The 12827-nt window shown below is 52.2% G+C and overlaps 1 protein-coding gene and 1 non-coding gene across 8 annotated transcripts in view, besides 3 other annotated features; both read left to right on the top strand.

The window, feature by feature from the left end:
* Positions 1–12827, top strand: part of PRKD2 (protein kinase D2) — a 42799-nt gene that overhangs the window by 1021 nt on the left and 28951 nt on the right. For 3 of the 7 annotated variants that reach the window (NM_001079881.2, NM_001079880.2, NM_016457.5), the window contains 4 exons: positions 2093–2231; positions 5056–5187; positions 11445–11599; positions 11703–11925. In NM_001079881.2, coding sequence (NP_001073350.1) covers positions 2093–2231; positions 5056–5187; positions 11445–11599; positions 11703–11925 — 649 coding nt within the window. Of the gene's footprint in view, positions 1–43; positions 1685–1773; positions 2232–5055; positions 5188–11444; positions 11600–11702; positions 11926–12827 lie in introns of those variants that run through there. The other 4 variants (XM_047438567.1, XM_047438568.1, NM_001079882.2 and 1 more) reach the window with 4 other exon arrangements.
* Positions 1246–1545: an enhancer, noted in NCBI's record as "active region_14846". NCBI's record gives its function as "activates an Ori minimal core promoter by ATAC-STARR-seq in GM12878 lymphoblastoid cells {active_cell/tissue: GM12878}" and the evidence as "EXISTENCE:reporter gene assay evidence [ECO:0000049][PMID:35858748]".
* Positions 1736–1965: a silencer, noted in NCBI's record as "silent region_10822". NCBI's record gives its function as "represses an Ori minimal core promoter by ATAC-STARR-seq in GM12878 lymphoblastoid cells {active_cell/tissue: GM12878}" and the evidence as "EXISTENCE:reporter gene assay evidence [ECO:0000049][PMID:35858748]".
* Positions 5427–6245: an enhancer, noted in NCBI's record as "H3K27ac-H3K4me1 hESC enhancer chr19:47213106-47213924 (GRCh37/hg19 assembly coordinates)". NCBI's record gives its function as "activates a minimal SCP1, AML or CMV promoter by ChIP-STARR-seq in naive H9 embryonic stem cells {active_cell/tissue: H9 hESC(naive)}" and the evidence as "EXISTENCE:reporter gene assay evidence [ECO:0000049][PMID:30033119]".
* MIR320E (microRNA 320e) lies at positions 6740–6812 on the top strand. Its single transcript, NR_036157.2, has one exon. It is a non-coding gene; the product is annotated as a microRNA 320e (primary transcript).

Here is a 12827-nt window from a genome sequence, read left to right as displayed (position 1 = left end):
GGTTGAAGGAGGGGGCGCTGGCAGAGGGGTCTGGGGCCTGGTGTGCGGAAGAGGGAGGAAGGAGACCTGAGCTTTGGGTGATGGAGGGATAGGGGGCATTGCCCCCCTCCATTGCCCCTCTCCCCACCATCCCTTTGAGAGAGGACTGGGCAGGGGTGGGGTGCCCCAGAGGCCTCCCCAAATTTCATGTCCCTGCATGTCGTTGTTTTCTGCAGCAAACAGGGAGGAAGGGAGGGGCCAGCCAGGTGTAGAGAGGGGAGGAAGGGGCAGCAGATGTCGGCGGACCTCCACGTCCAGGCCCATCCCGGGCCTCCCATTTGGTGGAAACAGGAGAAATTGAACCCGGGCTGGCCATGGTGATCCGGTGACATGTGTGGGTGCAGGTGCTTGAGTTAGCTGCCAGGGGCAAGTGAGGTCTCGGAGCCCAATTCTGCCCTCCCCTAAGCCTGAGATATGTGTGGAGGGGCAGGCACTCCTACAGACCCTGGGGACTCTATTCCCTTTCCTAGTCACAGTGCTGTTAGCCTACTCTTAATTTTGGACACCAGGGTCCCCAGGGTGGGCAGCTGGGTGTTATGGCAAGAGGAAACCAGGTGGAACTCCACGTCTAAACCGTGAAATGTTAAAAGAATAGTGGGCTTCTGTGTTGGAGTACTGGACTGTAGAAATGTTAGAATATTAGAATCATAACTTGTTGGAATATGCATCCTAGGCAATTAAATTGCCCCCATGTTCGTGTTCAAATATTAGAATTCTAGGTTTGTGAAATAGTAAAACATTAAAATGCTGGAATATTAGATTCCTAGATTGTTGAATCCTAGAAAGTTAAAATGTTAGAATTTTAGAATGCTGGATGGATGAGGTCCTTGAATGCTAAAGAATTCAAAGAGCACAGTCCTAGCTTGTCAGACTCCTAGAATATTAAAATATTAGATTACCGCTTATTTAGGTTATTGAAATCCTAAAATGTATAGTGATACCAGGTAGGAATCTAGAATGTATAATTCTATAATGTGAGCATGTTGGAGTCCCAAAATATCCAAATTCCAGAATCTTTTCAGACTCCTGGAAATGAATCCTTTGGGCATCAGAGAAACGTGGGGAACTGGGCCAGCTCCCCCATTCTACAGACAAGGAAACTGAAGCTTAGAGAAAAACTTCCCAAGGGGTCAGGGCCAAGGCAGTCCTGGTCTTCTGTGGACTCTCTCTTAGCAGTGAGAACTGATAGGGTTTTGCCCACCAAATGCCTCAATCCCGCAGGCCCAGCTCACCACCCCAACTCAGCCCACTTCATGGGAAGCTGGTGGCAGTGGGGGTACGGGGGCAGATTGTCCCTTGGGTGAACTTCTTTGTCCAGTGCTCAAGTCCCCAGCCTGCCCCGCTCAGGCTTCACCCCAGTTTTATTTTTCTGCCAGGTCCAGGTGTGTTAGGGCCGCTTACCTTCCTTCCCGAGGCCCCACCGGGGCAGTTTCACTTTCTGTTCTACTAGGTTTCATTTCCTGCCCCCAGGCCCCCAAAGCTGAGGACCCAGACACCTGGGTCCTTTGAGCATTGGGTGGCAGGCGCCCTCCTTATCTCCAGCGCCCTCGAGTCCAAGTCCCCCGGCCCCCCCCCCCACTTTCCCAGGAGCCCCGAAAAGTCCTCCTTCCAGCTCGCCCCACCCCAGTGCTGGGCCTGGAGCCAGGTAACTGGGACAACAATAGACAGATCCAGGAAGGAAGCTGGGGGGCGGGTGTGTGAGCCTGGGGAGGAGGCACAGGGGAGGGAGTGTTCATTCAGCATCCCCTCCCACCTCCGCCAGGTTCCGGAAAATTCGAGGTGTCCACGCTCCCGGAGCCACTCTCCCTCCCACCCCAGCTCCCCCTTCCAGCCACCAAACCCACGCCGGCGCCCCCTCCCCGTACAATTGGGGCGCTGGCATCCTGCCCGGCTCGCGCTGGGGTTGGGAGGGGGCAGGCAGGAAGCGAGGGCCTGCGGGGTCTCTGCGTTTCCGGGGGAAACAGCCGGCCCTGCCCTGGGAGGGTCACAGTCCGCCCGCTGCTGAAGGCGGCTCTGAGCTTTTCCGTCGCCACATCCCTCTCCCGCCCCTCAGTTCCCTGAGTGTGGCTTCTACGGCCTTTACGACAAGATCCTGCTTTTCAAACATGACCCCACGTCGGCCAACCTCCTGCAGCTGGTGCGCTCGTCCGGAGACATCCAGGAGGGCGACCTGGTGGAGGTGGTGCTGTCGGGTGAGAGGTGGTGGCCGGCCTGGGGGCGGGGCCTCGGGTGGGGGCGGGGCATCTGGGGGAGGAGAGGGTAGGGGGAGTTAGAAGTCAGGAGAGGCCGGGTGTAGTGGCTCACGCCTGTGATCCCAGCACTTTGGGAGGCTGAGCTGGAGCTGGGGGGATCGCTTGAGCCCAGGAGTTCGAGATCAGCCTGGGCAACATAGTGAGATTCCATCTCTACCCCTTTCTCTCCCTCTGAAAAAAAAAAATAAGGAGAGTTGGGGGCTTCTGGAAGATGGTTACAGAGTGGGGTCATGAAGGCGCTCTTTAGGGACTGGTCTAAACTTTCATTTATGGATTAGGATGCTAGTGACACGCTTTGTACAGTTTGAAAATTCATTGAGCTGTGCACTTGTGATGTGCGGCCTTTCCTGAACATATGTTATACTTATTTATTTATAAAACTAGTCAAGTGCAGTAGTTAGAAGGGGGAAAAGAGGAGAAGAAGGAGTTGGATCTGTAACTGACTGTGTTATGCTTAAATATAAAGGTAAAAAATGGGCCAGCTGCAGTGGCTCACACCTGTAATCCCAGCAGTTTGGGAGGCTGAGGTGGGAGGATCGCTGGAGCCCAGGAGTTTGAGACCAGCCTGGGCAACATAAGGAGACCCCATCTCTTAAAAAAAAAAAAAAAAAAAAAAGTTAACCGGGCGAGGTGGCACACGTCTGTAGTCTCAGCTACTTGGGAGGCTGAGGTGGGAGGATTTCTTGAGCTTAGGAGTTTGAGGCTGCAGTGAGCCACGATCATGTCACTGCACTCCAGCCTGGGCAACAGAGAGAGACCCTATCTCTAAAAAAGAAAAAAAGTAGAAAAAGAAAAAAAAAAGTTATGATGTCCATGGCTCCTGCCACGAAAATGCTAAATTAAATCAGAATCTCTGCAAAGTGAGATGGAATCTGCACATCAGTATTTTTAAAAGCCCCCAGGTGATTTTCTAAGACACAGCCAGAAGCCAGTTCATCCACTCACTATTCCAGTAGTATAGATGGGCATGCTCTCAGCACCTTAGAGCAGTCTATGGCCCTTGGTCCCTCTTGAGGGTGGGGGCAGCTGCCTTTTTCATGGCTGCCTTCCCTGCTGCTCCGGCATACTGCAGTGCCCAGTGAAACCGGCTCAATGAATGAATGACAGAAGTCTGGATTTACACCTTTAGTGACCTTGTTCAGGCTTTAAGTACTCTTTCATATCATAAGCTGGCCTCACTTGAATTTTTATCTTCATTGTTGTCTCTCCCCTAAACCTGAGTTTTGTTTTGTTTTTGTCATTTTTATTATTTTTTGTTTTTTTAGACGGAGTCTCGCTCTGTCACCCAGGCTGGAGTGCAGTGGCGCAAACTCAGCTTGCTGCAACCTCTGCCTCCTGGGTTCAAGCGATTCTCCTGCCTCAGCCTCCCGAGTAGCTGGGATTACAGGCGCCTGCTACCACACGTGGCTAATTTTTGTATTTTTAGTAGAGACGGGATTTCACCTTGTTGGCCAGGCTGGTCTCGAACTGCTGATCTTAAGTGATCTGCCCACCTCAGCCTCCCAAAGTGCTGCGATTACAGGTGTGAGCCACCGCTCCCGGCCCTGTTATTTTGTTTTGAGGCAGGGTCTTGTTCTGTCACCCAGGCTGGAATGCAGTGGCATGACCACCACTCACTGCAGCCTCTACCTCCCAGACTGAAGCAATCATCCCGCCTCAGCCTCCTGAGGTGGCTGGACTATAGGCATTACAGGCATGCACCACCACACTGGGCTTTTTTTTTTTTTCTTTTTTTTAGACAGAATCTTACTCTGTCACCCAGGCTGGAGTGCCGTGGCATGATCTTGGCTCACGGCAACCTCTGCCTCCCGGGTTCAAGCAATTCTCCTGCCTCAGCCTCCTGAGTAGCTGGGATTACAGGCACGCGGCACCAGGCCTGGCTAATTTTTGTATTTTTAGTAGAGACGGGGTTTCATCATGTTGGCCAGGCTGGTTTCGAACTTCTGACCTCAAGTGATCCGCCCACCTGGGCCTCCCAAAGTGCTGGGATTACAGATGTGAGCCACCGGGCACCGCCTATCCATGTTCTTTTTTGTTGTTGGTGGTGGTATTTTTAATTAAAAATTTTTTAATTTGGTAAAATATACATAACATAAAAATTACTATTTTAGGCCGGGTGCAGTGGCTCACGCCTGTAATCCCAACACTTTGAGAGACCGAGGCGGGCAGATCACCTGAGGTCGGGAGTTTGAGACCATCCTGGCCAACATGGTGAAACTCCGTCTCTACTAAAAATACAAAAATTAGTCGGGTGTGGTGGCGCATGCCTGTAATCCCAGCTACTCTGGAGGCTGAGGCAGGAGAACTGCTTGAACCCGGGAGGCGGACTTGTGGTGAGCCGAGATCTCACTACTGTACTCCAGCCTGGGTGACAGAGTGAAACTCTCTAACAAACACAAACAAAAAAGCCCACAACATTTTAAGCACTTTTAAGCGTACAGTTCAGTAATTTAAAGTTCACGCACACTGTTGTGCAGCCGGTCTCCAGAACTGTTGTCATCTTGCGAAACTGAAGCTCCTTGCCCGTTAAACAACTCCCCAATTCCCGCTCTGTCCCTGCCCAGGGCGTAGGGATATATGTGTTTTGTTCAGGGGTGGAGCTGGGATTTGAACCCAGGCAGAATGTAGTATGAGAGCAAATGAAGGAAGGAAGGAAAGATCACACCTTGCGGCTGGGAGCACTGTGAGAAATCAGGGAACGTGGGGTCTGGAAAAGCTTTGGCCTACCCCGCCTCAAGCATCCACCCCTATTTTCCGCCTACAGCCTCGGCCACCTTCGAGGACTTCCAGATCCGCCCGCACGCCCTCACGGTGCACTCCTATCGGGCGCCTGCCTTCTGTGATCACTGCGGGGAGATGCTCTTCGGCCTAGTGCGCCAGGGCCTCAAGTGCGATGGTGAGAGCTAAAGGGTTGGGGGCGGGGCCTGGGGCGGGGCTCTGCACCGGGGGCGGAGCGTAATGGTCCTGGCACGGGGACAGCGTGGGGAGGAGGAGCGGGTCTCAGAGCTGGGGGCGCAGCCTAGGAAGTAATAATGGGAAGAAGGATGGGCCCAGAAGCAGAGCTTGGGGAAGGAGTGGTGGGGCTGGGCCGGGGCTCAGGTCTAGGGGCGGAGCCTAGGAGGTGGAGCTGGGAGGGACAAGTAGGGGCTTAAGAACAGAGCCTAGGGGAGCAGAAGGGTGGCGGGGGAAGAGGGTGGGGCCTCTATCAGTTAGGGATCAAGCAGAGAAACATCCAGGAGGAGATATATATTGAGATATTTATATGCAAGGAATCAGCTTACAGAATTGTGTGGGCTGGCTAGGCAACTCAAATCTGGCTGGGCACAGTGGGGGAGGCCAGTAATCCCAGCACTTTGGGAGGCAAAGGTAGGTGGATCACTTGAGGCCAGGAGTTCAAGACCAGCCTGGGCAACATAGCAAGACTCTGCCTGTACAAAAAATAATTAGCCAAGCATGGTGACAGACACTTGTGGTCCCAGCCACTTGGGAGGCTGAGGCGGGAGGATCACTTGAGCCTGGGAGCTCGACACTGTAGTGAGCCCTGATTGCACCACTGCACACCAGCCTGGGTGACAGAGCGAGACCCTGGCTCAAAAACAGGAAAAAGGCCGGACACGGTGGCTCATGCCTGTAATCCCAGCACTTTGGGAGGCCGAGGCGGGTGGATCACGAGGTCAGGAGATTGAGACCCTCCTGGCTAACATGGTGAAACCCCGTCTCTACTAAAAATACAAAAAATTAGCCGGACGTGGTGGCACACGCCTGTAGTCCCAGCTACTTGGGAGGCTGAGGCAGGAGAATTGCTTGGACCTGAGAGGAGGAGGTTGCAGTGAGCCGAGATTGTGCCACTGCACTCCAGCCTGGTGATAGAGTGAGACTCCTTCTGAAAACAGAAACAAAAACAAAACAATAAAAAGAAAAAGAAAAAAAAATCCATCCTATCAGGAAGGGCAAGTGGGAACTCAGGCACAAGCTGAAGCTGATGTCCACAGGTGGAATTTCTTCATCCGAAAAGTCTCTGATCTGCTTTTTAAAACATTCAGCTGATTGAATGAGACCCACCTAGAACAAGCAGGATCACCTCTCCCACTTACAGTCAGCTGATTATGGATTTTCATCACATCCAGAAAATACCTCCACTGGGCCGGGTGCGGTGGCTCACGCCTGTAATCCCAGCACTCTGGGAGGCCGAGGCAGGTGAATCACCTGAGGTCAGGAGTTCGAGACCAGCCTGTCCAACATGGTGAAACCCCGTCTCTACTAAAAATACAAAAAAGCCGGCGTGTTGGTGGACGCCTGTAATTCCAGCTACTCGGGAGGCTCAGTCAGGAGAATCTCTTGAACCCGGGAGGCAGAGCTTGCAGTGAGCTGAGATTGCACCATTACACTCCAGCCTGGGCAACAAGAGCAAAACTCTGTCTCAAAAAAATGAAAAGAAAAGAAAATACCTCCATGGGGCCTTCTCTTCCCAGTTCTTCCTGGAGTCGGGGAAAAGCTGGGTTGAGAAGGTGAAAAGAAAAAACAAACCTTGACTGGGCACAGTGGTTCACACCTGTAACCCCAGCACTTTGGAGGCTGAGGCAGGCGGATCATGAGGTCAAGAGATTGAGACCACCCTGGCCAACATGGTGAAACCCCATCTCTCCTAAAAATACAAAAATTAGCGGGCGTGGTGGCATGTGCCTATAGTCCCAGCTACTTGGGAGGCTGAGGTAGGAGAATCACTTGAACCCAGGAGACAGAGGTTGCAGTGAGCCGAGATCGTGCCACTGCACTCCAGCCTGGCAACAGAGCGAGACTCCGTCTCAAAAAAAAAAAAAAAAAAAAAAACCACAAACAAACCAACCTTCATGGCAACATCTAGATTAGTGTCTGAATAACTGTGGATCTCGCCTAGCCAAGCTGACACATTAACATGACTATCAGGGTCCATCTCTTGTCAACCTGGCACCTGTCTTAGTTTGTCAGGGCTGCCTTAACAAAATACCACCCTGCGTGGCTTAAATGACAGACATTTACTTCTCAAAATCCCTGGAATTGTGAGAGGCTGGAAAGACAAAGATCCAGATTCTGGCAGGGTTCTGTTTCTGGTGTAGCCTGCTTTCCTGCCTTGCAGAGGGCCATCATTTCACTGTGCGCTCACATGGGACACGGAGAGAGAGATCCCTGGTATCTCTTCCCTTTATAAGGAAGGCCAGGCATGGTGGCTCATGCCTATAATCCCAGCACTTTGGGAGGATGGTGGATCGCTTGAGTCCAGGAGTTCGAGACCAGCATGGGCAACATGGTGAAACCCCGTCTCTAAAAAATACAACAAATTGGCCAGGCATGGTGGTGCATACCTCTAGTCCTAGCTACTCAAGAGGCTGAGGTGGGAGGATCACCTGGGCCTGGGAGGTTGAGGCTGCGGTGAGCCGTGATCATGCCACTGCACTCCAGCCTAGGTGACAGAACACGATTGTCTCAGAAAAAAAAAAAAAAAAAAAAAAAAAAAGGTCACCAGTCCCATTGGATTACAGCCACACTCTTTCGGCCTCAATTAACCTTAATTACCTCCATAAAGGCACCGTCTCCAGATATAGTTGCATTGGAGGTTAGGGTTTCAACATAAGAATTTTGGGGGAGACACAGACATTTAGTCCATAACAGCACCCATACATATCTCCTTAAATCATAGTTTAAAAATATACAGGTTTTCTTTTTTGGAGACAGCGTCTCAGTCTGTCACCCAGGCTGGAGTGCAGTGGCGCGATCTCAGCTCACCACAACCTCCACTTCCCAGGCTCAAGCGATTCTCCTGCCTCAGCCTACCGAGTAGCTGGGATTACAGGCACACACCATTACTGCCCGGCTAATTTTTGTATTTCTAGTAGAGACGGGGTTTCACCACGTTGGCCAGGCTGGTCTTGAACTCCTGACCTCAAATGATCCACCCGCCTTGCCCTCCCACAGTGCTGGGATTACAGGCATGAGCCACCGCGCCTGTCCAAAACATACAGTTCTTTAAGCCAAGATGTCTCAAGGTTCAGCCCAAGTGTCAAGATCTATATAGGTCCTCTGTCCCTGTTATTCATGCTTCTGAGTGAGAATGTTGAAATCGGGGCTCTGCCTACAGATGAAGGCCATGTACCTGCATTGGCTATGAGGACAGATGACAGGTGAGGACCATCCATTCTGTGATGAGACCCTGTGGCTCCATTGTTTTGTGTGTGTGAGACAGAGTCTTGCTCCGTCACCCAGGATGGAGTGCAGTGGCGTGGTCTTGGCTCACTGCAACCTCTACCTCCTGGGTTCAAGCAATTCTCCTGCTTCAGCCTCCCAAATAGCTGGGATTACAGGTGCGCACCACCACTCCTGGCTAATTTTTGTATTTTTAGTAGACGGGGTTTCACCATGTTGGCCAGGCTGGTTTCAAGTAATCCACCCTCCTCAGCCTCCCCAAGTGCTGGGATTACAGACATGAGCCACTGCGCTGGGCCCCATGCGCCTCCATTTTTGTATGGTGTGCCCTGCAATTAGAGCCATATTCTTGGATGTTCCATTGGGTATTAGGTCTGAGACAGCATCTCTAGCTCCGTGGGTGCCACGCTTGTACAGAAATCCTGATTCTGGGCCAGGCACGGTGGCTCACACCTGTAATCCCAGCACTTTGGGAGGCCAAGGCGGGCGGATCATGAGGTCAGGAGTTAGAGACCAGCCTGGCCAACATGGTGAAACCCTGTCTCTACTAAAACTAGAAAAATTAGCTGGGTGTGGTGGCGGGTACCTATAATCCCAGCTACTCGGGAGGCTGAGGCAGGAGAATCATTTGAACCTGAGGGGGTGGAGGTTGCAGTGAGCCGAGATCATACCATTGCACTCCAGCCTGGGTGACAGGGTGAGACTCCGTCTCAAAAAAAAAAAAAAAAAAGAAATCCAGTTTCTCCAATATCCTGTGTTCCAGATCATCATGCAGTCCAAAGTATACTTGTATTATTTAAGGACTCTAGGCCTGCAGATACTGATTCAGTGCATTAAAAGCTCTTATAAATATTGCCATCGTCCACACACCATATCCAACTCTTGAGGTCTCAGCATATGCAGTCTTTGTCATGATACAGCCCTGGTGTCATCAAGTCCTAATGGGTTATCAGCACAGACTTCACTGGTGCAGCATCACAGATGATGGTCCCAGTTCCTATGGTGGCAAGAGAACCCCAAATGACTACATTCCGACAGGAGTTTAACTCTATCCTGAGACTCATTCTGAGAGTTATAGATAAGATTCTGAAATTCTGGAAGGCACATGAGTGATTCAAGGCCAACACTGGGAAATGGTTCCTGTGTGCAAAGACCATTTGCCCTGCTGAAGCTCTTCTTGCAGGGCCAACACCGTTCTCCAAGCTTGCCTCCGTGATTACAGCATGCAGCCAAGACAGTGCCTACAATGAGGAGGTGTGGAACTGGAAAGCCTGGAGCAGGCGGGTACCAGAAGGGCTCCCAAAGGCTGGAGGAACATTCTTCACTCCAGAATAGAAAGCGATCCTGGAATCGTTTGGAATCACTGGAGATGTATTAGAGCACACATACAGAACGTCCAGTGGGAAACAGGGAGTTGAGCTGATTTCTCCATGGATGAGGATTTTAAAAGATAAAATAGGCAGGGCACAGTGGCTCATGCCTGTAATCCCAACACTTTGGGAGGCTGAGGTGGGAGGATCACTTGAGCCCAGGAGTTCAAGACCAGCCTGGGCAATGTAGCGAGACCCCATCTCTACAAAAAAATAAAAATAAAAAAATTATCTGGGCATGGTAGTGTATGTCTGTGGTTCTGGCTACTCAGGAGGCTGAGGCAGGAGGATTACTTGAGCCCAGGAGTTGAAGGCTGCAGTGAGCTATGATTGTGCCATTGTGCTTCAGCCGGGGGTACAGGGAGATCCTGTCTCTACAAAATAAAATAAGACAATAAGAAGTCATACTTCTGCCTAGTATGGTACAATGGACCTGAGTACAACTGAGAACTCTTTTTTTTTTTTTGAAACTGAGTCTCGCTGTATTGCCCAGGCTGGAGTGCAGTGGCGTGATCTCAGCTCACTACAACCTCTGCCTCCTGGGTTCAAGTGATTCTCCTGCCTCAGCCTCCGGAGTAGCTGGGATTACAGGCGTGTGCCACTACACCCGGCTAAGTTTTGTATTTTTAGTAGAGATGGGGTTTTGCCATGTTGGCCAGTGTGGTCTCAAACTCCTGACCTCAAGTGATCCGCCGGCCTTGGCCTCCCAAAGTGCTGGGATTACAGGCGTGAGCCACCATGCGTGGCCCACACTACTAAGATTTAATCACACTACTTAGGGATTGCCTGGATTCCAGGTCTACAGAAAAGAGAAAGTGGGGTACAGGGGGTGAGCAGACCTGGAGGGATAGTGACCTTAGGGGTGGGGGTGAGGAGAGGCATTTTCTTTTGGAAAGTTGGGGTTGGGGAAAGAGGGGGAACCAAAGGGGCCTCAGAAAAAGGAAGGTCAGGGTTAGAAGGGGGAACAGGTGTCTCTAGGGAGATGGACAGGAGTTTTGGGGAGGACTAGAAGGAGGTGCTTACCATAGAGGACTGGGGCTGGGTCAGAGCTTTGGCGGGGACTTTTGAGGCATCCATTGTTGCAGTGGGAAAAGGTGGGGTGTGAGGCGCGTTCAGGGCCTGGGGGGCAGATGGGGTGATGTCGGGGCTACAAGCTGGAACTAGGGGTGGAGCTTTGGAGGGAACCTTTGAGGTATCCCTTGTTGGAGTGGGAAAATTTTGGGTGTGAGGCGTGTTCAGGGTCTGGGGGACAGATGGGGTGATGGCAGGGCTACAAGCTGAAACTGGGGACAGAGCTTTGGGGGGAGCCTTTGAGGTGTCCCTTGTTGGAGTGAGAAAAGGGGTGTGGGTGTGTTCAGGGTCTGGGGGACAGATGGGGTGATGGTGGGGCTACAAGCTGGAACTTGGGGCAGAACTCTAAGGAGGGGTGGGCCTGAAGGGGCTGATACACTTACGGATAGTAGTGCCTTTTGGAGGAGATCGTGCTGGCGGGGGGTGATGGGACAGGACCAGGTGAGAGATTGGGTGGAAAGGGCACAACTTCTCAAGAAGAGACCTAGGAGGGGCAGACGCCATGTCTCTTACTCTCTGGCGCCCCCTGCAGGCTGCGGGCTGAACTACCACAAGCGCTGTGCCTTCAGCATCCCCAACAACTGTAGTGGGGCCCGCAAACGGCGCCTGTCATCCACGTCTCTGGCCAGTGGCCACTCGGTGCGCCTCGGCACCTCCGAGTCCCTGCCCTGCACGGCTGAAGAGCTGGTGAGGAGATGGGGGATGGGACGGGTTGGTGGCTAGGGGGGTGACTTGGCCCAGGCATGGGGCCAACGCACTGATGTGTCCCCTCCATTCTTGCCAACGACAGAGCCGTAGCACCACCGAACTCCTGCCTCGCCGTCCCCCGTCATCCTCTTCCTCCTCTTCTGCCTCATCGTATACGGGCCGCCCCATTGAGCTGGACAAGATGCTGCTCTCCAAGGTCAAGGTGCCGCACACCTTCCTCATCCACAGCTATACACGGCCCACCGTTTGCCAGGCTTGCAAGAAACTCCTCAAGGGCCTCTTCCGGCAGGGCCTGCAATGCAAAGGTTAGCTGGGCCTGTCGGGGAGGACAGACAGGGTCAGAACCTCCTTCCCGCCCCAACCTGGTCTTGTGGCAGGACACAAGGATCTGAGCCTTGGGACCCCAGGGCCTCAGAAGGGGAGGGCCCTGAATCCTAGTGTTCTGGGACCTTTGGAATTCTGGAATCTTAGAACCTCAGTTGTGTGTGTGTGTGTGTGTGTGTGTGTGTGTGTGTTGTTGTTGTTTTTTGGAGACAGGGTGTCACTCTATCACCCAGGCTGGAGTGCAGTGGCGCAATCACGGCTCACTGCAGCTTCAACCTCCTGGGTTCAAGTGATCCTCCTGCCTCAGCCTCCCAAGTAGCTAGGACTACAGGTGGTGCCACCACACCCAGCTAATTTTCTTTTCTTTTTTTTTTTTTTGAGACGGAGTCTCACTCTGTCGCCCAGGCTGGAGTGCAGTGGTGTGATCTCGGCTCACTGCAAACTCTGCCTCCTGGGATCAGGACATTCTCCTGCCTCAGCCTCCTGAGTAGCTGGGACTACAGGCGCCCGCCACCATGCCTGGCTAATTTTTTTGTATTTTTAGTAGAGACGGGGTTTCACCATGTTAGCTAGGATGGTCTCGATCTCCTGACCTTGTGATCCACCTGCCTCGACCTCCCAAAATGCCGGGATTACAGGCGTGAGCCACCGCGCCTGGCCACACCCAGCTAATTTTTAAATCATTTGTAGAGAGAAGGTATCACTATATTGTTCAGGCTGGTCTTGAACTCCTGGGCTCAAGCAATCCTCCTACCTCGGCCTCCCAAAGTGCTGGGATTACAGGTGTGAGCCACCGCGCCCAGCTGAACCTCAGTCTTTAGAACCTTGGAATCCTAGATTCATAACGTGCTTAGCATGGAATTCTAAAACTGTAGAACCTGAG

Source organism: Homo sapiens, chromosome 19 (genome assembly GCF_000001405.40).
Source record: "Homo sapiens chromosome 19, GRCh38.p14 Primary Assembly".
NCBI lineage: Eukaryota > Metazoa > Chordata > Mammalia > Primates > Hominidae > Homo > Homo sapiens.
The sequence above is the reverse complement of the archived record's forward strand: the minus strand, read 5'-3'. Positions and strand labels throughout refer to the sequence as shown.